The sequence below is a fragment of the Homo sapiens genome, chromosome 2 (genome assembly GCF_000001405.40).
Source record: "Homo sapiens chromosome 2, GRCh38.p14 Primary Assembly".
Lineage (NCBI taxonomy): Eukaryota > Metazoa > Chordata > Mammalia > Primates > Hominidae > Homo > Homo sapiens.
In genome coordinates, this window is record NC_000002.12 from 181,967,160 (window position 1) to 181,992,750 (window position 25,591).

The following is a 25,591-nucleotide window of genomic DNA, read 5'->3' on the forward strand; positions in this document are numbered from 1 at the left end:
TCTCTGATTTTATTTATTTGAGTCTTCTCTCGTTTTTTGTTAGTAAGTCTGGCTAAAAGTTTGTTGGTTTTATCTTTTCAAAAAACCAAATTTTCCCTTTATTAATCTCATATTTTTTGGTTTCAATTTCATTTATTTCTGCTCTGATACCTGTGGGGTTTTTTTTCTTGTACTAATTTTGGGTTTGGTTTGCTCTTGATTTTCTACATCTTTAACAGGCATTGTAAGGTTGGTCATGTGAAGATTTTCCACTTTGTTGATGTGGGTGCTTATTGCTATAAACTTTCTTCTTAGTACTGTTTTTGCTGTATCCTACAGGTTTTGGTACAATGTGTTTCCATTTTCATTTATTTCAAGAAATTCTTCAACTTCCTTCTTAATTTTTTAATTGATCCACTGGTCATTCAGGAGCATATTATTTAATTTCCATATGTTTGTAAAGTCCCAAAGTTTGTGTTTCTGTTGTTATCAATTTTCCTTCCTTCCTTCCTCCCTCCCTCCCTCCTTCTCTCTCTCTTTCCTTCCTTCCTTCCTTTCTTTCTCTTTCTTTCTTTCATTCTTTCTTTCTTTTCTGAGATGGAGTTTCACTCTTGTTGCCCAGGCTGGAGTGCAATGGCACATTCTTGGCTCACTGCAACCTCCGCCTTCCAGGTTCAAGCAATTCTCCTGCCTCAGCCTCCAGAGTAGCTGGGATTACAGGCACGAGCCACCATGCCTGGCTAATTTTGTGTTTTTAGTAGAGAGGGGATTTCTTCATGTTGGTCAAGCTGGTCTCAAACTCCCAATCTCAGGTGATCCACCCGCCTTGGTCTCCCAAAGTGCTGGGATTGCAGGCATAAGCCACTGTGCCCGGCCTGTTATCGATTTCTAGTTTTACTCCATTGTGATCAGAGAAAATACTTGATATGATTCCAGTTATGTTTTTAATTTATTAAAACTTGTTTTGTGGCCTAACATGTTGTCTGATCTTGAGAATGATTCAGGTGCTGAGGAGAAGATTATGTATTCTTTAGTTGTTGGATGAAATGTTTTGTAAATATCTTTTGGGACCATTTGGTCTGTAGCATAGATTAAGTCCAAAGTTTCTTTGTTGATTTTCTGTTTAGATGATCTGTCCAGTGCTACAGTGGGGTGTTGAAGTCTCCAGCTATTATTGTATTAGCATCCATCTCTCTCTTTAATGCTAGTAATATTTGCTTTACATATCTGGATACTCCAGGGTTGGGTTTATACGTTTATAGTTGTTATATCCTCTTGCTAAAATGGACCTCTTTTTCATTATATAATGACCTTTTTGTCCTTTTTATAGTTTTTGTCTTGAAGTCTATTTTGTCTAATATAAGTATAGTTACTCCTGTTCTATTTTGGTTTCCATTTACATGGAATGTCTTTTCCCATCCCTTTATTTTCAGTCTATGTGTATTTTTATAGGTGGAGTGTGTTTCCTGTAGGGAACAGATAATTGGGTCTTGTTTTGTGATCCGTTCAGCCACTCTATGGCTTTTGATTGGAGAGTTTAGTTCTTTTACATTCAATGTTATTATTGATAATGAAGGACTCACTACTGCCATTTTATTATTTGTTTTCTGGTTGTTTTGTGGTCTTCTCCTCTTTCTTTACTTCTTTCCTTTTAGTGAAGGTGATTTTCTCTGGTTTTAAATTAAATTTTCTTTAATTTATTGCTTTTTATTTTTGTGTATCTGTTGTATGTTTTTTGATTTGAGGTTACTTGAGGCTTGTAAATATCATCTTACAACACATTATTTTAAAATGATGGATTCATAATGATTACAAAAACAAACAAGCAAAGAGAAAACAAATAAAATCTGTAAATTTTAACTTGATATCCCCCTGCTTTTTAACTTTCTGTTATTTCTATTTGTGTCTTATTGTACTTCTTATCCTTCCAACTTTGTTGTAGTTATTATTTTTGATAGGTTTATTGTTTAGTCTTTCTACTCAATATATGAGTAGTTTACACACCACAATTGCAGTATTATAATATTCTGTTTTTCTGTGTACTATTACCAGTGAGTTTTATACCTTCAGATAATTTCTTATTGCTATTAATGTCTTTTAATTTTGTACTGGAGAACTCCCTTTAGCATTTCTTGTAGGACAGGGCTAATGTTGATGAAATCTTTCAGCTTTTGTTTGGGAAAGTATTTATTTCTCCTTCATGTTTGAAGGATATTTTCTCTGGTTATACTATTCTAAGATACATATTTTTTTCTTTTAGCACTTTATATATGTCACACCACTCTCTCCTGGCCTATATGCCTGTATGATTTCCATTGAGAAGTCTACTGCCAGATATATTGGAACTTCTTTGTTATTTGTTGTTTTCTTTTTCCCTCTTGCTACTTTTGGAATCCTTTCTTTATCCTAGACCTTTGGGAGTTTGATTATTAAATATCTTGAGGTAGTCTTATTTGAGTTAAATCTGCTTGGTGTTGCATAACCTTCTTGTACTGGTATCTTGATATCTTTCTCCAGTTTTGGGAAATTTTCTGTTATTTCTTTGAATAAACTTTCTACCCCTGTCTCTCTCTCTACCTTGCCTTACAGCCAAAAACTCTTAGATTTACTATTTGAGGCTATTTTGTAGATCTTGTAGGCATGCTTGTTTTTTATTCTTGTTCTTTTGTCTCCTCTGACTATGTGTTTTCAAACAGCCTGTCTTCAAGTTCATCAGTTCTTTCTTCTGCCTGATCAATTCTGCTGTTGAGACTCTGATGCATTCTTCATTATGTCAATTGTATTTTTCAAATCCAGAATTTCTGTTTGATTCTGTTTAATTATTCCAATCTCTTTGTTAAATTTATCTGATAAGATTCTGAATTCCTTCTCTGTGTTATCATGAATTTCATTGAAGTTGCTCAAAACAGCTATTTTGAATTCTCTGTCTTGAAAGGTCACATATCACATATCTCTCTGTCTCCAGGATTGGTCCATGGTGTCTTGTGCCTTATTTAGTTTTTTTTTTTTTCCTTTGAGGTCATGTTTTCCTGGATGGTCTTGATGCATGTGGTTGTTTATTGGTGTCTGGGCGTTGAAGGATTAGGTATTTATTATAGTCTTTGCAGTCTGTGCTTATTTGTACCCATCCTTCTTGAGAAGGCTTTCAGGGTATTTGAAGGGACTTGCATGTTGTGATCTAAGATATTGGTCATTGCAGCCATATCTGCATTAGGGGGCACTCCAAGCCTAGTAATGCTGTGAATCTTCCACCCTCATAGAGGTACCACCTTGGTGGTCTTGGATAAGATCTTGAAGTATTCTCTGGATTACCAGGCAGAGACTCTTCTTCTCTTCTCTTACATTTCCCCAAACAGAGTTTTTCTCTCAGTGCCGAGCTGTGCAAAGCCAGCACAGCCCTAGGTCTTGACCAAAGTCCATGATAACCACTGCTTGGCTATCACCTATGTTTGCTCAAGGGCCTAGGTCTCTACAATCAGCAGGTGGCAAAGCCAGCCAGGCTTATGGCTTTTCCTTCAGGTGGCAATTTCTCCCTGGCCATGGGTGGGTCCTGAGATGCTGTCCATTAGCCAGGGCCTGGAGTCAGGAAGCTTAGGAATCTACCTAATGTTCTATTCTACTGCAAATGAGCTGGCACCCAAGCCATAAGACAAAGTCCTTCCTACTCTTCCATCTCCTTTCCACAAGCAGAGGGGACTCCTTCTGTGGCCACCACTGCCCCAGTTCACGGAGAGTACTGACTGGCTACCACTGATGTTCACTCAAGGCTCAGGGGCTGTTTAGTCAGCTCATGGTGAATGCTGCCAGGCCTGGGCTGTCCCTTCAGGCCAGTGGGCTCCCCTCTATTTCAGGACAGGTCCAGAAATGCTATCCAGGAGCCAAGGCCTGGAATCAGGAGCCCAAAGAGCCCACCTAGTGCTCTACCCCATTGTGACCAGGCTGTTTCCATGCCACAAGACAAAGTCTCCTTTACTCTTCTGTTTCCATTTCTCAAGCAGAATGAGTCTCTCACCACAGCCATGACAGCTGGGAATGTGCTAGTCACACCTGAAGCCAGCACATCTCTGAGTTACACCCAAGGCCCACAGCGAGTACTGCCTATCACTGCTGATTATTCAGGCCCAAGGGCTCTTTAATCAGCACTTGGCAAATCCTGCCAGGACTGGGTCCATCCCTTCAAGGCAGCGAGTTTCCTTTTCATCGAGGGTGTGTCTAGAAATGTCCAGGAGCTAGGTCCTGGAATGGGGGACTCAGGACTCTGCCTGTGGCCCTATTCTACTGTGGCTGAGCTGGTATCCAAGTTGCAAGACAAAGTCCTCTTTAATGTCCCCTCTACTCTCCTCAAACAGAAGGAAGGAGTCTCTTTTGGTGCTACAAGCTGTGCTGCCTGGGGTTGGGGAGTTGGCACAAGCACTCCCTTGGCCACCCCAGCTGGTGTCTCACTAGGTCACGTTCCCTGCAAGTCCCCTCACTCCACACTTAGCACAGCACCAGACCTTGCCAAGGAATTGCAGTCCTTGAGGCATAGATTGCCTTTCAGGTTTATTTAGGGCCCCAGAGTACTGTAGGCCATGGTCTTGAGGCTTGGTAGAACTCAGGTTCTGACTGTTGGGATGGATGATTCCTTTCTGTCTAGGGCTCATATAAATGCTCCCTCTATAGATGCCGGCTTAGTTCTGCCTGATGTTGCTTTCTGTTGTGCCAGGGCAACACTGAGTTCCAATGCAGTCCCACAATCCCTTTGCTCTCCTTTCCTCAAGTGCACAGATTCTCTTTGCTGCACCACATGGCCACTGCTGGGGGATGGAGAAGGGATGGTGTCTGCAATTCAAGCGTATCTTTACTACCCTCTTCAGTGCCTCTTCCAGTGATATAAACTTAAAACCAGGTATTGTGATTGCTCACATGATTTTTTTGGTTCTCATGAAGGACTTTTGTGTGAATAGTCATTTAATTTGGTGTTTCTGCCAAGGGGACAATTGGTAGAGACTTTTATTTGGCTATCATTCTCTGTCTCCTCTCTCAATCTGGAGTTCTTTACTCAGCCAAATTCACTAATGTGGGAAGGGAAAGAAAGTCATTTTTAGATATTCGAAGTCTTGGAAAGTTTAATACCTATGAATCATTTCTATAAAGCTTACTAAAGAATATACTTCAGTAAGTCAGAGAATAAATCCAAGACAAAATGTGTGATGTACGAAAAATGGCGAACAAATAGATGATTTCACTGTGGCAGATGAGTGAAGCCTGTGGAAAAGGTCATGCTGAGCATCTTGTTTCTTTGGAGGTGTATGTGGACAATAAACGTGTATTCATCCATTATATAAATTATTCGTGTAATTACTTTTTAATAGGACAAAAAAAAAACACAATACATCAACAAAGTCCAGAGGATTGAGCAACAAAGCACTTGGAGGACATTTTAGCAGAAGGAGCATTTGAACTTGGTCCTAAAAGTAGAGATGTTTGCTAAGTAGCAAACATAGGGTGGAAGGGTGCTCTGAGTCACTACAAGTGACCATATGTACAAAGTGAAAGGACTTGGGTTATTCAAGAAAGAGTAAGTTCAGTGGTGATTATGGGGTACATGGCCTGAGGTGCGCCTAGAAAATAAAGTTTTAATTTCTATTTTCTATAGAGTGCCAGATGATGAGCTAAACTGATTTCCTTATCATACTTTCTTAATTACCTACTCCTATCATTCATTTTGTTCCATGACTCATTATTTGTACTGGAAAATAAAGCTTAGCACATTACAACCTGCTAGAAATTTCATGTTCTTTCTGAATTAAGAATTATCTGTTTGCTTCCAAACTCATTATGCATATATTACACAAGCAGTATAATGAGTCATATGTTACGCTTTTTAAAACTGGATCATTAAGAAATCGTAAGAACAGATGTATAACAGTTCAAAATCTCAAGAAGCAGAGACTATGGGATGGCACTGGTGATCCCCAAAACAGGTTGCTGTGGCATAAATATGATCAGTAAGCATCTTTGACTCATAGGCCAGACCAGGCCCACCCCAGACCACCATGACCAAGACACAGAGGCAAATGCTCTCAGTCAATATAGGTTTCATGTTCTTACCGAGACATTTGCTTTTACTGGAAGTGACTCATCCTAATCAGAAAATTATTTTATTTTTAATGCTCCGTTATTTGTAGATATGAATAAGCCTACATTCTGCATGGAAACATAGGCAAGCACTCAAGAACAGCTCTTTTGCAGAGTTTACGCAGAGCCAGAAGATTGCTAAACTGAAGCAACATAAGTCCAAAACTTGAAATCATTTATAAAGAACTTATTTTTGTTTAAATAGATGTTAGAACTCAGAGAACATATACAAAGTACTAAATGTGTGTATACCATTTACATAGCAGATAGGGAGGTAAGCAGAAGAAGCAAGACAGGAGAGAGCTATTTGTCAAGTTTTATAGTGATAATAAAAAAGGCAAGACGAATGTTTCAGTGTCAACTGAGAGCTGATCATTTGTTGAAGATTAAAGGCAGAAGAAAAGGGACTTTTGGCAAAGCAGATCTTTCTGTAACGCTGTTAGTACAAAAAATAATTGGCTGCCTTTTGCAGAGATGTTCTAATCAAATACATTTCTTGAAAAAGTAAAGGCATACTCAGGATGAATACAGCATGTAATGTATGGCCCCACTGACATCTACATTCTATGAAACTTTCAAATTATATTTATATTTAATTTAAATTTACATCCCTGTTTTCTTTTTAAAAAATATTTTGAAAAGGTTGTCTAATCAATTACTGTTAGCACCAACTTTTTATTTCTGGGGATTGATTAATTAGTTTGTGGGTTATGCAGACATTTGATGACTTGTTTTTTCCTTGTATCTTGCCTTTTAAACATTATGTTAAATAGTAGCATTTTACCAAGATTGAGAGATAAGAGTTGAAATTTAAATCAGTCAATTATGCTACCTTGGAGTATTTATAAGGCTTTATATATGGGTGGGTAGAGACTTTAAGGTAAAAAAAAGTCATTAAGGAAAGAGAAATGGAACCAATATCTAGAGTTGACTTAAATCATGTATTTGCTGTTTGTCCTCTTTCCCACAGGAATCTAAGAGATGGTTGTGAATATTAATTAAAATAACATACAGAAGATTATACTCTGAGAATATTTCTTACTTGATATTTATCTATGTTACATAAATTCCAAATTGGATTCCATAGAGTATATTTGAAGGTGCAAATGAATTGAACAGAAGATGCTGTTAAAATATTTCACAAAACAACCAGAAATTCAATGAAAGTATCTTAACTGCACTTTAATATTATCACAGAATATATATATTCTAGTCTTGTCACAAACTGTAATTGGAAAAGACTGTGATCATACTCCCTTGCACAAAGATTTGGTATCCATTCTGAGATTGGATTCTTCTAGAATAAATATGAATCTGAAGCATCTCCATGTCAACCTTATATACAGTGGACCCTTCCTGGAATTGAGGAACTCAGATTTTCCAATTGTGCTATGTGATTTTCAGAAACAATTTGAGAATGTTCAGGTGTAAAGGTGTGAAATGGAGAAGACAGTCACTTGGGGTTGGAAGACACCCTTTGCCTGAGAACTATAAATCAGAATGCTCACTGGTTTCCAGAGAAAGTGAGAGTAGTTAGGCAGCAGTAGCTGCCTGGAACTACCTGATTTTCCACTAGCTATACCTGAACATCGTTTAAAAGGTTATACATATTTTAAAGTGCTTCACCATTATTAGGAGTGCAGTCTTTCCTGTCTTCAATCATTTGTAATGTCTCTCAATAAAGGCAGTACCCCAAATGCTTTTCCTGATACCTGCAAAATAAATGAAAGGAGTCCACTAAAATTCTGATGACTGTCAAGATTGTGTCAGACATCAATCATATGGGGTTACAAGGCACTGACTTAAGGGACTCTTAAAACCCTGCTTTGAAAAATTATAATATAAAATTTTGGGGGTAATTTAGATCAGTGTTCCTGATGAAATGTTTTGAAGAACTAAACTGGAGATAGTACATCAGCCTGGTAGTTATTTGTTGCCTTTTTTTTTTTTTTTTTTTTAGAATGTTTTCTCTCTTCAAGATTCTCTTTTGAAAGACATCTAAAAAGGTAAGACTGGGCAAGACTTTGAGAGAATTTGTTCTTTCAAGTCTTCCCTGATTGATAACTATTGCTAAAATATAGTTCATGGTTTGCCTACATCAGTGATGGTGCATAATACTATTTATATTTTGAACATTTCCTCTGAGTAGAAAATGTGAAGTTCATTCAAATTTATGGAGCTTCATCTTCGACTGTGTTTATTCTCTCTCTTTTTTCTCTCTCAGACAACACATTCATTTATTCTGTTTTAACTATGTAAAAAAATAAGAATATGTTGCACTTGTTATCCATAGCTTAAAGAAAGAATTAACAAAGCTAAACCAATAAAATAATAGCTATTTAACAGGAAGCTATAAGAAAACACTCTCCTGGTTCTTTCTCTTTTTATTTTTTATTTTATTATTATTATAATACTTTAAGTTTTAGGGTACATGTGCACAATTATTATTGTAGTTCGTTTCCATTGTATTACATATGTCAAGTACAATGCATATTGAAAGGCCCTCTGTGTACCTATAATATTGCTCTTATAGGTAAATGTAAGAATGTTAGGAACAGTGTTCTTTTGCATTAAGTAAGGGAGGTAAATTCAATATGATTTTGGAAATAATGATCTCATCCAAAGTAGCTTGTCCTTCATTAGAAGACAAAGCATGTTTTTTTGAAAAAGAGCTCTATTTTAATTTCTCTGATTTAAGAGAGGGTGTGAAAAATCTTTTTCTGCATCAAAATGCAAAAGAACCTTAAAAATATTATTTAAAATTATCTTTGTTATTCTGGCTCTTAATTTTTTATTAAAAAATTCAAATGTGCTCATTGTATAACATAGAAAATCATAAAGAGAAAATATATAACCTATAAACTCACCATCCAGAGACAACCCCATTAACATCTCAGAATATATTCTTCCAAACATTTTTCACACATCACACACAAAAGTATAAGTAAGCGTGTATGTATATGTCAGTAGGTGTTTAATGCATGAGTACATGCATGTGTATATATGGATACAAATCTATAATGAAATTATACTAGATACAGCTATACTATTTAAACATTGTGTGAAATTTTTGAAAATTATTTGGAAACCCTACCAACAACAGAGTTCTAGAAGTTACTCTGAATCCAAACCAAATAAAATCTTATAACATTATTTTCTTCCATTGTATTACCAAACTATTTAAAATGTGAAGAATTTTGCAAATGGGTTATTTATTCATTTATTTATTTATATCGTTGAGTAAGAGGATCATACCTATAATCTCCTACAAAGGCTACTGGCCTACTGTTCAGGAATCCTGAGTAATTCTCCTCACCTTAATATAAATTTTATCTATATATCTGTATATCTATATCTATATCTATATCTGTATCTATCTATTCCTCACTCCTCTCTGTCTCTTGAGTATTTTAAACATCTTTCCCCTCTGGCTACCTCCTTGCAGCCCAGGACATATTCAAGTCTGGTTCATCTATAAAATAAATCTAAAAAGCTCCACTCCACTCTTGCTCTTGCTCTCTACTGTAAGGTCCCATGTTTGAAGGAGGCTTTCTTTTAACTGTCAAGGTGTTTTTTAAAGAACTTGCCTAAATTATGGGCCAGGCACAATGGCTTATGCCTGTAATCCCAGCACTTTGGGATGCTGAGGCAGGTGGATCACTTGAGGCCAGGAGTTCAAGACCAGCCTGGGCAACATAGCGAGACCCTGTCTCTACTAAAAATACAAAAATTAGCTTGGCATGGTGACACATGCCTGTAATCCCAGCTACCTGGAGGCTGAGGCATGAGAATCACTTGAACCCAGGTGGAGGTTGCAGTGAGCTGAGATCGTGCCATTGCACTCCAGCCTGGGCAACAGAGTGAGAATCTATCTAAAAAAAAAAAAAAAAAAAAAAAAAAAAAAAAAAAAAAAAAGCTAGGCTAATTTTTTATCACCTACCTATTTCCCACTCTTTCCCTCAATATAACTACTAGAATTCAGTGGATAATTTTTAGATGTTTGTAATTACATCCTCTGTAGTTTTGACATGCTGATCACATGTTTCCTAAAGAAACTCTCTTCAATCTTTATTTCCATGTTGTTATTCTTTCCTGGTCTTCTTACTCCTCTGATTGTATTTTTGTGTGTGTGTGTTTGTTTCCATTTTGTCCTCTTTTCCCCCTTAACATTTGGGTTTATCAGAATTCTACACTTTTTTCTTATCTTTGCATTCCACAAACTGCTTGGATTAATTTATCTATCCCCATGTCTTTCAGGGCTTATTTGACAAGGACTCATATATTATGTGTATACCTTCAAGACAGACCACTCTTCTGTGTTATAAAATAGAAAACTGTAAGAATAATACTAATGATTTTTAAAGTGCCTAACAGGACACTTTAAAAAGTGTGGTGGCTCATGCCCGTAATCCCAGCACTTTGGAGGCCAGCAACCATTTTTTATGTCCATAGTTTCTGTAGGTCAAGAATCCAGGTAAGGCAAAGTGAAGATGACTTGTCTCTGCTCCACTATGTTGAGGGCCTCAGTTGGAACTCTCACAACTGGAGCTGACTCACGTGGCTGGGGACTGGAATTACCCGGAGGCTTCTTCACTCACATGTCTCATGGGGTAGCTGTGATGACTCAAAGTCTGGGCTCCACTGGGGCTGTTGACAGGAATCAGCATGTGACATCTTGTATTAGTCTGTTTTCATGCTGCTAATAAAGACCTACCTGAGACTGGGTGGTTTATAAAGCAGAGAGGTTTAATGGACTCATGGTTTCACATGGCTGGGGAGGCCTCACAATCATGGTGGAAGACAAAGAAAGAACAAAGGGATGTCTTATATGGCGGCAGGCAAGGGGGCTTGTGCAGGGGAAGTCCCAGTTATAAAACCATCAGATCTTATGAGACTTATTCACTACCACAAGAAAAGTATGGCAAAACCACTCCCATGATTCAATTAACTCCACCTGGCCCTGCCCTTAACACATGGGGATTATCACAATTCAGAGTGAGATTTGGTGGGGACACAGTCAAACCTCTGCATGCGACTTGGGCTTTTCACTGAATACCTTCTGGGTTCTGAATGTGCCTCATGACAGAACATTTGGAGAGTAGGCAGACAGAGCAATGCCAGAGTGTTTTTCTTTGCACCATGATGTCTGGGGCATCAGATCAGAGACTCAAACAGCTGGAGATGACTTGAATAGCTAGGGATTAGAATGCTTTGGAAGCTTCTTAACTCGCATGGCTGACACCTGGGCAAAAATGACTCACAGGTCAGGCTCAGTTGAGGGTGCCCACTGGAGTACTCACAGGTGGTCTCCATGTGGCTTTGCCTTCTTCACAGTGCAGTGGCTGTTTTCTGAGAGGGAGCAGTCCTAGCTGGAGGGACTGGAGGGGTGTTACACAGGAACTGAGTGGAATGAGCATGGCCTTTTATGAACCAGCCTCAGTAGTCAGGAAGCATCACCTTCTCTGTGTTCTATAGTTTACATATGAGTCACTTAGGCCAGCCGAGATTTGAAGGGAATTAGACTACAACTCTTGGTGGGAGAATAGTAAGGGCCATTTCAGAAAAATATGGGGAATGAGAGAGATTGTTTCTTCCATTTTTGCAAAAATAGATACCCCAATACCCCTAACTGAGCCTAGCTTTTGAGTCATTCTTGCCCAGGTGTCAGGCATGTGAGTAAAGAAGCCTCCAGAGCATTCTAATCCCTGGCTATTCAAGTCATCTCCAGCTGTTTGAGTCACAATTATGCCATGTGCTGAACAGTTTTCATGAATTACCTCTTGGAATCCTTATATCAATTCTATGAAATAGTTAAGAGTTTTATCCTTATTTTAAATTTTAATATTCACTAATTTTAACAATGAGAAAATGTAAGGAGTATTTCCATCTAGATAACATACTTGGACTAAACCAAGTCTAGAGTAATTGATTTTTATTGTTGTTCTACATCTTATCCTTACATTTTACCATTTAGTGAGTGATATGACCCCATATACTAGGCTGCTAAATCTGAATTCGTAGTTCATCATTGTTCCAACTCTCTCTTCCGTTATTATCATCCAATTTCATTAAATAACTATATTCTATGCATCTCCCTCTCCATTTTCACTGCTATTACTTTATTTGAGGCTTTTTTTCATTTCTTGAGTAGATTTTTATACATCCTCAGATAATCTTGTCTCTGGTCTTGACCCATTCCAATCTACTTCTACATGGGCACCACAGTGATCATTCTTTAAAAAACCTAAATCAAATTGCCATACTCTCTTATGTGAATCTCTTTAGTTCCTGTCACTGCCTTCAGAGTAAATCCCACATTTCTTTGCATGGGCAAGAATGACTCAAAAGCTAGGCTCAGTTGGGGGTATCGGGGTATCTACTTTTGCAAAGAAATGTGCATGGCATGCAATGTTGTCATTTCTTCCTCTAGGTCAGGGACTGAGTGAAGATAACTGGGTGTAAATAGAGTGTACGTAGTGTTAGAGGCGATGGAGCCTGTCTCTATGTAAAAATCACTTCTTTGCATAGAGAGGGCAGCTCTGTGACCTTGTGGATATCAGGGCCCAGCTTTGCAAGACTTTCTATTTTATTGAGAAGCTGAATATCTTTATTTTTGTGTGTTTTTGTGTATTTTTAAACATGGTAGCAATTAAAAACAACAACAACACCTGTAGGCAAATAAAAGAATGTCTGTGGCTCACAGTCAGACATCACCCTCCTACCTAGGTCCCCTTTCCACTTCCTATAACTCCTTTTGATCATGGCGTCACCAGCTCTATGGTGCTTATTTTTATAGGATTCTGCCTTCTTCTCTCAACTGTATGTTCTTTAGAGGTTGGGATCTTATTGTATTTGTGTTTGTATCACTGTGTCTGTCATAGAATGAGATACTCAATAAATATTTGTTGGATGTATAAATAATATTTATGAAAGCATTTTGGAAATGAATATATTTCTAGGTATACTCAGCAATTACAAGTCCAACTTCATTTAATAATCATCTCTCCAAAACAAAAAGCAGGGAGAGGCTAACATTAAGCTATGGAAATCCATAAAAGTGAAAGGTACCAAAACAAATGAAAAGGGAGATAGGTAGACAAGGGGTGAGAGCGAATTCCAAGTCTTCCTCACGTTATTCCTGTGCCTTTGCTGGACTTGAGCTAAAGCCTGTTTAAAAGTCTACAATGTCTAAAATTTCTAAGACTGTCCACACTGGGCTGTGATTGACTGTGTCCCCATGACACTCCTATTCCTGGGCTGTCCATTGAGCTGTTTCCCCAAAGTGGCATCAGTAAAGACCTACAGTGCCTCGGCTCTACAAATCTCTGTAGCTCCCTCTCTCTGATGTCAACTCACTGCTATAGCATCATGGCTAATATGGACTTGCTACAAACTCTTCATGGGTTTATGGCTTTCTTTAGTGAAACTGCCTCAACAAGAATAGAGATTAAACATAATTGAGTGACTACTCAGGAAAATTATACATTAAAAAATAGTGTCTGCATGGTTAGAGAAAAAAAATACTGAGTATGTAACACACTAATAATTCTTCAGTTCAATTCAGCACTCATATACACTCTACTGATTGATATGAGGATTCTAGAGTAAGTCAAAATTGTTAGAGTTAGTGAAGATGAGAACATGCAATCACAAAACAAATAAGGAGAAGTTTTTTTTTTTTTTTTTTTGAGACGGAGTCTCGCTCTGTCGCCCAGGCTGGAGTGCAGTGGCGGGATCTCGGCTCACTGCAAGCTCCGCCTCCCGGGTTCACGCCATTCTCCTGCCTCAGCCTCCCAAGTAGCTGGGACTACAGGCGCCCGCCACTACGCCCGGCTAATTTTTTGTATTTTTAGTAGAGACGGGGTTTCACCGTTTTAGCCGGGATGGTCTCGATCTCCTGACCTCGTGATCCGCCCGCCTCGGCCTCCCAAAGTGCTGGGATTACAGGCGTGAGCCACCGTGCCCGGCCAAGGAGAAGTTTTAAAGAACACAGTAGGCACTAAATAAATGTGGAATGAATGAATCATTGATGTTTGCCTTTAAGCCTGATAGAGATTGCAAGTATTTTATACTTAAGTGCTGTGGGAATTCAGATTTTAATATGAGATTGCAATATAGTGAGCTTAGTCTGGTAAGGCTTCTTATAGCTGTAGATCTGAAAAAATATCATATTTAAAATTGCATGGTTGAACTTATAGGACATTCTGAAAGAGTTAAAATATGGCTAATAATTTCCATGGGGGAAATTTAATTTAAATGAGCACTTGGAAAGAGTGGTTCATTTCACTTATATTACTGGGATTCGACCACATTTTATAGATAGGCCTCTTTGCCTCAATTAGGTATCAATGGTTCAGTAATAATTTAATATTAATATGAAGGTTTTGGAGTTCTCCAACAGGTTACATTGAATATAATTGAGATAATTCTATGAAAGCCCAATAATATTGTCACTCTCCCATGCATCTGTTTTCTTTGATGGAGGAAATGAATGAAGTTACAACTAGAATTGAAGGAGGACATACAAGGGAGTGCATCTGAAATGTGACTGCCAGCATTTGGGTTTTAAATAGAAGAGACAGAAAATCATTGCATTAGGGCTAGAAATCTTTTCAATGGACTCATATCTAGATGATATTGTATTTTTTCTGCTTTTGTTCATTATTGTATTTCCAGCATTTAATGTAGTCATGTGTAATACATATTTGCTTTTATTTTTGATGGCATTTAGTTAGCCAACCAATTGTTAAACAAAGTCACGTCTCATATATCTGCATAACTTTCAAGATTCATGAATTCAAGATATTTAAAACAAAGCCTGGAATAGAAAATACATTAAAAAGTTTAAAAATTTGCTTTTCCCTCTCCACCCCTCTCCTCTCTTCCCCTTTCTTTCCCTTCTCTTCCCTCAAAGAAAGCACTTGTTAATATCAGGTAACAATTAAAAAACAAGTATTGACAGTTATCAGATAAAGAAAAATAACTCTAAAAACAGTCATAAGAACTATGTATCTATGGTATTTGGAGGCAGTTACTATAGCAAGAAATACTAACAGCAAGGTGTAGGGCTTGAAAGGGTGAGCCATAGTCTTTTGGAAAATTCAGTTTATTGGAACACCTTACGTTTCTTGATAGTATTAGATAAAGCCTAATTGGACTTATTTAGTAACTACTAGATGACGAGCATCTTGCTTGTTATGTTTATGTTTAAGATAGGATGGGATTTGCAGTCTAGGAGAAGAGGCAAAAGAAACACATAGGAAATTATTATAGAATAACATAAAACTATATATAATTAAATACCAGGAGAGGGAACAAATTGAGTGATTCTTCTTGTGTGGAGAATCTGAAGGTCTCTTTCTAAGGAGGTGGAATTAGAGAATGAATATAATTTGGGTTAAAAAAGGGAGCGGGGAGGCAGGATGGCTTCCAGGGAGGTAGGGGAGGCCACAGAAAGACTGGTGGTAAGGTGAACTGCGGCAGCCTGTAGGAGGGTCTTGAGGAATCATGCAAAGTAGGGCAAGATAGATATTATAGTGTAAAATCAGGAAGGCCTAATGGCCTATTTTCCTAATGTTTTTCCATCTTTACTCCAGTATCACTTACTTTGAAGAGAGACTATAGTTGTTGCTTGTTCTAGAGGCCTTTTTAATCTTTAATGATTGAACCCATTACTTTTAAAGAGCAACGGAGAGGATTCCTTTTTCAGTCAGTTTGGTGGTACAACATCCAACTTTAGGCTCTCCTTTCTATATTGATATCTAATTTGCAATGATTGAGTATCTTGATTAATAGTATCCTAGTCATGCTACTTGCTTCTCTTTCATTCATATACCACGTCATCTTAAGATCTTTTACCATGGAATTGATGTGGTCAGAACCTCTAACCACTGCGGAGATTCTGTTGACTGCCACTGACTTCTCTACTGGCCTTATATTATAGTGGCCATCATGATGCTGTTGTGATTAAAAGCCCAAGCCCTATGCAAAATTGCCCGGGTTTGAAACTGGGCTTTGCCATATATTAGCTGGATGACCCCGGACAAATTATCTAAACTCTCTGACTCCCGATTACCTAATTTTAAATTGAGGATAGCAATAATATCTACCTCAAACAGTTGTCGGAATAAATTAATGCAGATAAAGCACTTAGAATAATTCCTGGCACATGGTATCATATAAGGGTTAATTATTACTCTTGTCTCTAATAGGGATAAAAAAATGTGCACTTAATATTTAGGAAAATTATACCCCCCATGCAAACTCTATATTAACATTTTTTAGATTATTTTACATTTAAGTTGCATTTTAAGTAGTTCTTCAAGTAAGAATTTAGCTTTAAAAGGACTTCAAATACCTTTTAACACAATCTCTCCTCTAGTGCCATAGCAAAAGGCCTGGTGTGGAGTAGACTATAGTATCTACTCAACAAATATTTGCTATGTGAATAAATAAAGTTGCAAAATACTAAACATTCAAAAGACATGTAGGTAGTTATTATGATAAATAGAGTTATGCTTCATTCTTTAAGAATACAGAGAGGTGAGTTTAAACCCAATGTGGAGAACAGTAAATCTACAAAGGCTTCCTAGAAGCAATGATACTTAACTGAATCTTAATGGACACACAGGAGTTGGCCTCATAAAAAACAAGAAGCTTAAAGGGTCTAGATAGCCCATTTACAATATTGTCTCTGATCAACCTATTCAAAATAGGGCAATTAGTTAATGAGAACCATTTTATTGGTATTTATACCAAACACATATATGAAATTTCACTTTATCACCTATTATTCTAAGTGGAATCAAATTATTCCAAGTAGATAGATATTCTTAGTGATTCTGGTTGAAAATGTGTATGTTGAAGCCTTTTGAAAAATCTGGCTGAAAGAAAAATAATAGCTATCTTTTATTGAGTGATTCCGTGCTGGCCTTGTAATGAGCTCTTTTCAGGAATTGAGTAATCTAAACCTCACAAGAAGAAAGTTCTCCTACTGCCCAAACTGATAAACTTGGTAAGTAGCAGAGCTAGAGCTTGAACTCAAGGTTGCCAAGTGCATGTTCTTAATTATTACATTATGTGAAGTTTTGTATTAACTCCTCACTAAAAATACTGTCTTGTCTTGCTTTCCTTTTATATAATTTGAAGATATATTCAAAGAAATAACTTCATTAATGATATCAATTTAGATTTTATTTCTGGAGACTTTTGTAAACTGTTACATAAAATGTAATTTATAAATTTCCCTTCGACACTACACGGATAAACTCATCACAAGATTTCTTGCTAGTCAGCACTGTTCTCCACTAAAAGTGCTTTCACATCCACATCTTTGCTTTTTCCCCTAGTGAATATAGAAAACTACTTCAATAATGCATATTCCTTTCTATATTCCTTCAACAGAATGTTGCCTATTTAAATCATTAAGATGGATTCCTAGTACAGAATCAAAATTTAAAAAATAAAAACTTCAATTGTAAATACCTGGAATCATAGTCGATGTCTAAATATATTAAGTACATCCAAAAACATATTTACAAATCTAGTATTCATCACATAATGCCTCTCAAGAAAGCAGAGATCTCAAGCAGTTTCATTTTCACACTTCCTTCATAAAAGTATTCGAATGCATGAAGGCCATCTGGCTATGTTACTACCTCCCCTTTAACATTAACTAATGTGGCAATCAGGCTAGTGTCCCACTGTTCCCTGACCACTAGCCAATATCAACCCTCTGAACATTACCCACTTCATGCTTTTTTCAAGTCCTTATCTTTACATACATTTCTACTGTTGACAACAAGCCATAATGTTGACTACCATTAGGTTTCTACTAATGTTTTCCAGTCATATTCTTCCAAGTCAGAGAATGTAACTGGCTCCACCAGGAAATAAAATAGAGGTCATTGAAGCAGCAGTGACTTCCAAGCTGTTTGCTAAATTTAGCAGCACAATACTTTCCACTCTAATGAAAACTGTGAACTGCAATTTTAGAATGTTGGAACAGGATGGGACTTTAAAGGTCATTGAGTCCAATCCCCTCATTTTTCTGATGGAAGTGTGGAGGCCTAGACGTAGCCAGTAATTTTCTGGAGGCCACAGAGCTTGTTAATTATGAAGATGGAACTCGAACTAAGATCTGCTCAGCCCTGCAGTAATGCTGCCCTCACTACACCACAGATGCTCTGCCTCCTAGGATGAGTTTAAACTAACCAGATCTTATAGCATAAACATAGCTGATATTATTGGTTGTGGCTTACCCTCCATGGCCATTCAACTGTTTCGTGGCTGAATGTGAAATAGCAAAGGTATCTGACTTATAAGTTGCTGAGAGAAATGATTCCATACCTAAACCCTGCCCCCAACTCTAAAAACTTCCTGCTTGATGTTCATCAATAATGAATGGCCCATCCCTGCAATACTCAGAGGGAGCTTACATTGCACTTTTGAGCAGCCGGTTAGTAATGTACAGTGGATAGAGCCTTTCTTTCAAATCCCAGGGCAGTGGGTCCTTCAAGGCTAGCATTGCATTTTCAATTAGCTGCTGAGTGAATGCTTGGCATGTGTATTAGTGAAGAGGCACACAATTAGCGTATTGTTCCTTTCTGTATTGTGCTGAGAGGATCCAAGGGATTGGTGGGGGAACAGGCAAGCCAGGCATCACCGTGGATGTTGAAGAAGGGGGTTACTCAAACCTCGGCATCTTCACTTGCTCGATCTGGAATTACAGCTATTTATTACGAAGCACTCTGTGTGGCTTAGTGGAGTGTGTCTGAGGAAACACATCCCGGACACCACTTAGGGTTAGTCTTTCTGAGCTCTTCACATCTCTGACTAATTATCATCATTACCATGGAGCCCAACAGTCCCAAAAAGATACAGTTTGCCGTGCCTGTATTCCAGAGTCAGATTGCACCTGAAGCAGCAGAGCAGGTATGTGAAATTGCATGGAGAACCATTCCTGTACATAAGGTAATATGAACATGCATTCTGGTTATTAATTGAAAGGTTCTTTACCTTTTGATTTTGCTAACTCTGACTTTCAAGATAATGTAAACAAGAAATAAGTTGGTTTTTACACATACTTGTATTTAAATTGCATTGGGAGAACTATTGTCTAAAATGTAACACTTCATTTGATACAAAATTAGCACCTCTGAGGGGAAAATGGCTCTGTAAGCAATTCAGATATGGATTCATAAATCTGTTCATTTTTGCTCATTAAAATAACAGTTTCAACATTTAGAGCAACTTTTAAAAATTATCAAAATGAGCAACATTTTATTTCATTTTTTATAAAATAAAATGATTGATTTAGCAATAAAATCATTAAATCCTGCAATAGTTTGAGACTATAGGCCTAATACTTTATTTTCATATGTTTTATTATTGTGGACACAAAACAATGATTATAAGTTTATATAATATATTACAGCTAGGATTTGTAGCTTTTTGTACAGTTTTAAAATCGTTTTGTTCAGACATTACAAACAGTGTTTTAACATTTCCTAGATTCTTTGTCCATGTCTAATATTGGTTTACATCTGTATCACCTTTCATATTCAGATTTACTTAGATTCTTGATGCAATGGCATCTCTTAGAACTGCAACTGTGAGGAGGCAAAAGCAAAGAAATTTATGAGGACATCAACCTAATCCATTCATTTCTTAAAACTTAAATTATTCTTGAATCCTTTTCCAAGTATTTGATATAAAGTCTTAAAAATAATTATTTAATCCGTGACTCATAGTGTTTCAGGATGTTTTGAAATCTGAGGTAGATGCACCTAGACTCAGGCCAGATAAATGTATCCTTGAACATGTGTCTATCCATGCTGAATGGGATGTTGCTTCTATCTTGGACAGGATGTCATTGATAAATTTTATTATCTATCCTACTGACACTTACTTTGGGTATTTACCCATAAATGAATATAATAAACAAATAAAGGATATTATATTCAAGGGATTCTGACAATACTATGCTCCTGTAACTCTTAAAATGAAAAAAAAAAACTTTAGAGTTTGTAATAAGTTGCATATTCTCATAAGATCCATATTTATTCTTCATTTGTTTATTTGTTCTAAATATTATACTAGAAAATAAAAAAGTTAACAAAATTAATTGAAATTCAAAGCTTATGCTGTTGATTTAACTCTGGTACCTGCTAGAAATAGGTTTCCAAGCTCTTCCTTATCCTGTTTAAAAATAAGGGTAATGAATCTTGAAAGCACCACCAATGTTATGAGGCTCCAAGCAAGCCACTAACATTATCAGGTCAACCCTGTACCTTCATTGTAAATTAATTTTCTGTTGTATCATTCAGTTGTATATAATTATTTCTTTTCCGTGGAAATGTAGCTTTTTGGTCAAAGAGGGTGATACTTCTATCAGACAGTTCAATTCTGTGGCTTTCTATTATTTCAAAATAAAATTAGTGAGCACCTTCCATGTGTCCTCCAGAAATTTGCTTTTGCATGTGGGGAAAAGATGAGGGTGAGACAGCTTTGCAAGCTGCAGAGTAACCTGGAGCAGTGTCTAATACTCACTGATATTAGCTGGGCTTTTGTCGTTCACAGATCAGGAAAAGAAGACCTACACCAGCATCACTTGTGATTCTCAATGAGCATAACCCCCCAGGTAAAGAAGCATGATGTGTTTCACACTGATGGAACAGAATGGAATTGTTTAAAGAACATCAAAGTACATGTCGTACTGAAAAGTTTCAATTTAGGATTTCACAGTTAGCAATACTCTAGAAAGCTAATCTATAAAATGGATCGTAAACAGAATCAGAAATAAATATTACAGGAATAATCTCAAGCCACAGCCTGTATTTCCTCTAGAATATCATAAGTGATGATATGCTATGAAATATTTTGCTAGCACTGGCTGTCATATGTTCAGGTGTTTGTATGGAACCTGGATTACTGCTTATTAATGAGGCTGGTGGAAAGCTGTTTAATTAGGTTTAAAAGCTCAAATTACAGCCCTAGAGATGCTTATATCTTTACAGAGTAAGTTTTTTATATGGAAAAGGTTGACATGGGGTGGGCAATGACCCAGCGTTGGCTTCAGCTTTGCTGATGACGTCATCTCTGAATAATGCAATTGACAAGTAACCAGATCAATTTTCAGCACTGCCTATTTGAGAGCCATTCTGAATGGCTGAATCCATTTGTTGAGGTTTTATTTTCCATTTCCTGTAAAAATGAAAACCGCATTATTATTCCGGATAAAAGACTATGATCTGTAATCCACAAACATTATTTACTTATTGAAGCGGGGTGATTTTTAGTCTCACATTTAAGTGCTGCTTCTGGATATACAAGTAGGATAGGAAAGGTCATGACATTAATTTGCAACCAGGCAGAACTTGGTGTTGGATTTTTTTGCAGGTATAAACAATAATGGGTGGACAAAAGGAGTTTAAACAGTGGAAACATAATATGTCTAATAATAGACTGTAGCGAGTGATCTAAGAATACCAGGGTGAAATAGTCCTTGACTTTTTCAGACTCTTTTCTAATTAGAGAAACATATAAAAAGAACGTAAACTAATAGGCTATTCATCATTTAGCCCAAATCCAAGAAAATTTTCAGGTGATGGAAAATAAGTAAGCTAATTTATTTCTGTTGAAAATGAATAATTATAATTTGATCCTATAACTTTAGGGTGCCATTGCATTTAAAATTATTTTCAAATATATTATCTCAATAAATCTTAACTTACTTATATTTGGTTAAATAAGAGGTGCAAATGATATGTAATTATAATTCTAAAATAAATACAAGTATAAAGATAAGTCTTCTCGATTTGGGGGTAATTTTATAGCAATTTTCCATCACTGCCTTGCTCATGGTAGCAAACATTTCTGTAATGTCCTAAAACTTTCCTCCCTATGCCTGCCTTAAGGTGTACTGCACAACTTGATTTCCAGGTGTTCTATCTCCTGGAGAGCAGTTTTCAGAGGTCTATAGGCATCATTGCTGTTTGAACATAGTGAAGTCATGTAAGTGACCTTCATCCTCTCATTTGAACTCCCAAAATAGCAGCTACATTCTCTTGAGTGCCAAATATGTGCCATTTGGATGAGGAAAGTGTGTATCAGAGAGGTGAAGTGATTTTTGTGGCTATTCCACTAGAAGTGACGGATTCCAGAGACAAATGCAGGTAATTCTGATACTGAAGCCCATACATTTCCACTGGCACTGGCTTTGAAAATATCAGTTTGCACTACATGGTGAAGGCTTTATAATGTGACTAGTCATTCAGGCCCTATAAACAAGCAAATCCAAACAAAGTAAATCCATTTTCTGGACCACTTATCTTAGTAGATTAAGGAATTGTACTTAAATATCCCTGGGAATAAGATTCAGTTTTTCTCTAGAAACCTTTTTTTTTGTCAGATCTCCCAATTACTAGATGGCATTGTCCCTTTTCTCTAATTGACCTCATACTTCTCTTTGTTTTTTAAGCACCACTGGAGACAAATTAGATGCAAATAGCATCTCACAGAGAACTACTTTATTTTAGTACATCACCTGCCTGCATCTTCCTCCCCCTTTATGGAAACTAGAATAGTCTACAAAGAATTAATCAGCTTTTGGCTGTGTATAGGACTTGGATAAGTGTGCATGGCAACTAGAGATTTTGGACTAGTGATGGATTTTTGTAGTAAAACCCTTAAAAGCTTATAGTTTTCCCAGTAAAAATGATCTAGCACCAAGCTTACTGGGGAAATAACTCTAAAGATAAAACAACAACAACAACAAAGAAACAAACAGCAAAAAAAGAACACTAAACCAAATCAAACTTGGATACTGGTCTTAACTAGCCATGTGATGTGATCTTGGGAAAGGGATATCTCCAAGCTTTCTTTTCTTTCTTTTTTTTTTGAGACAGTCACCCTCTGTCGCCCAGGCTTGAGTGCAGTGGCGCGATCTCAGCTCACTGCAAGCTCCACCTCCGGGGTTCACGCCATTCTCCTGCCTCAGCCTCCCGAGCAGCTGGGACTACAGGCTCCTGCCACCACGCCCGGCTAATTTTTTTGTATTTTTTTTTTAGTAGAGACGGGGTTTCACCGTGTTAGCCGGATGGTCTCGATCTCCTGACCTCGCTATCCGCCCGCCTCGGCCTCCCTAAGGGCTGGGATTACAGGCCTGAGCCACAGCGCCCGGCCTCCAAGCTTTATTTTCTCATCTATAAAATAGGGATCATAGTGTTCTTTCTTTCAACCTCACAGGGTTGTAGTAATGATCAAAAGAGTTACCATGAACATGACTTAAAAATTGCAAAGTGCAACAAAGATTAGGTATCATTAACTGATGTGTTCGGGAATACAATATTTGCATGTGATATTTAAGAACAAAGATATAACAAGAAAAACAGAATCTTCATAATCTCATCTGTTCTAAATATTTCTGCGCGATCCAACAGTTTCTTTTCCACACATTATTTGAACACTCTCTATCAAACAACAAAACAAATAAGAGTAACAACGAAAACACTCATAAGTGTTAAATGACCATTTTTAAGCAACTGTTTCTCCTGTCCCCCAAAAGCAATATGTTGTTTGAAAAACAAAAGCTGGGTGCAGCTTTAAATCCTGGTAAAACTAAACAAATCTCTTCAATTCACTGAAATTGGCCAGGGAATAATTGGCTGTTCTTGGACTCACCTGTCATTAATGCTGTTTAAAATTCAAAACCCTGCAAATCTTTCTTTATTGTCAATTAATAAAGCAAAGAAAATTAAATTCTTCATTATAGAAACATAAGTAATAAAACATTCCAATTCATATGACAAGATCAGTGTACTGCAATCACTGTTAAATGGATTAGACATAGCTTGCTTTTTTTTTTAACCTTTTGAAGTGTTTGCAGGAAGAGTAAATTATAGGAGTATTTGAAAGAATGATTATATATATTCTGTTTATATTTTGTAGAGGAAAAATAGAAAGATATTTCAAGATGTATATTCAGATTTTTTGTTTGCTAGTTCATCTATGCTGGTCTAAACACATAGATGAGATAGGCACCTGATTAGTTGTATTCTAGGGGCAGCATAATGTCCCATCAGTCCCTTTCTGACAAATAACCTAGAACTCTCAGCAGTAGAAGCACTATGTAAACAGATACTTAATCTGTTAAGGATATATCACCCTCTGGCATGGGTTAGTAAATCAGTTTAACTCAAAATAGTGGGAGATGAAACTAAAATTTTTAAATTGAAGGCATGAGTCAGGGAAAGTTTAGTAACAGAGGTGTGTCTTTAGGGTAGAAAAAGCAGAAACAATGTATTTGCTCCTAGGAATAACTCTCAACAGTCAGGTGGCAGCAAAAAGATACTGAAAAACTGAGATAGGGGAAGTAGGGAATCGCCAAAGTTCCCTATATTTCGTCTTTTTCAAATGTTTTCTGGGGCTACCAACATGAGTGACCTTTGTAGCAAACTGCCTCTCTGTATTTTCAGTTCCTCTTCTGATTAAGGGCCTCTTTATGATAAGCTCTCTGAAGCTACACAGGAGAGCATTATTATCTATTCTTATACTGTGTGCTGTTTGCTTTTACTTTTGTATAATCTGTAGTGAACTGGTTTGGTTCCTATATATTTTTTTTTATCTAGAGAGCTGCTTATGTGTAAATCCTCTCTGTAGGGAAATAAATGGCAAAGATACTTTCTGTAATTTATTCCATCACATCTATAGATATTTTAAGTCTACTTAAAAACAAGTAATGTCTTAAGTAGACTTATGAAAAGACTGTATATTTGGCTACCAGCGTTTGAAATCTAGAGTTGGAAAATAATTTCAGAAAATACCTACTTTAACCACACATCTTCATGACAGACATACATAAACCAACCCAAGTCCCTGAGACTCGCTCCATTTTATATACCTCAGAGAAGAATCCATAATTAACCGGGCTTTTCAACTCCAGCTCTGATAATTTCAGATGTTAGAAAATGATTTCTTATACCAAACTTAAATATAAATTCCCCACTTTATTCTAAAATAACTTCATTTGTTCTCTGCAATAAAAAGTCATTTTCTCACCTTTTAAAAAATATGAATGAATGATTATTTTCTTTTATTCTCAATCTCCCTAAGGGCTTTAATAAACTCTATCCGAATTCTCCCTATTGCTCTGCCTTTGAAGCCCAGAGCTGGACACAGTCTTCCAGTAAAAAGCCAGCCTAGACCAGGTCTTCTGAATATTAAAGTTTGTGGCATCCATTGTTTTCCATTTACCGTTAAGCAGAGACAATATGGTTACAGTTATATTTAATGGACCTGACGCCTACTAAACATGAGTGAGCTGTATGAGGCCTGGAGATAAGTGCAGATTTGGGTAAGTACCCAGGAGTTTTGACGTCATTTAAAAGCTCACTGTACATCTAAAAAGTGGAATCCGAAGCATAAGGTAAAATAGTTTTTTGAGTATATTTATTGAACTTCCTATCACAGCCAAATTTTGGGGAAATCGACT

At 36.9% G+C, this 25,591-nt stretch overlaps 1 protein-coding gene across 5 annotated transcripts in view; it reads left to right on the top strand.

The window, feature by feature from the left end:
* Positions 1–25,591, top strand: part of PPP1R1C (protein phosphatase 1 regulatory inhibitor subunit 1C) — a 176,906-nt gene that overhangs the window by 12,680 nt on the left and 138,635 nt on the right. For 3 of the 5 annotated variants that reach the window (NR_048566.2, NM_001261425.2, NM_001080545.3), the window contains exons 1-2: positions 18,694–19,032; positions 20,680–20,740. Coding sequence is in view for 3 of the 5 variants with exons in the window: in NM_001261425.2 (NP_001248354.1) it covers positions 18,952–19,032; positions 20,680–20,740 (142 nt within the window). In the remaining 2 variants the exon portion in view is untranslated. Of the gene's footprint in view, positions 1–8,059; positions 8,106–18,693; positions 19,033–20,658; positions 20,741–25,591 lie in introns of those variants that run through there. The other 2 variants (NM_001261424.2, NR_048567.2) reach the window with 2 other exon arrangements.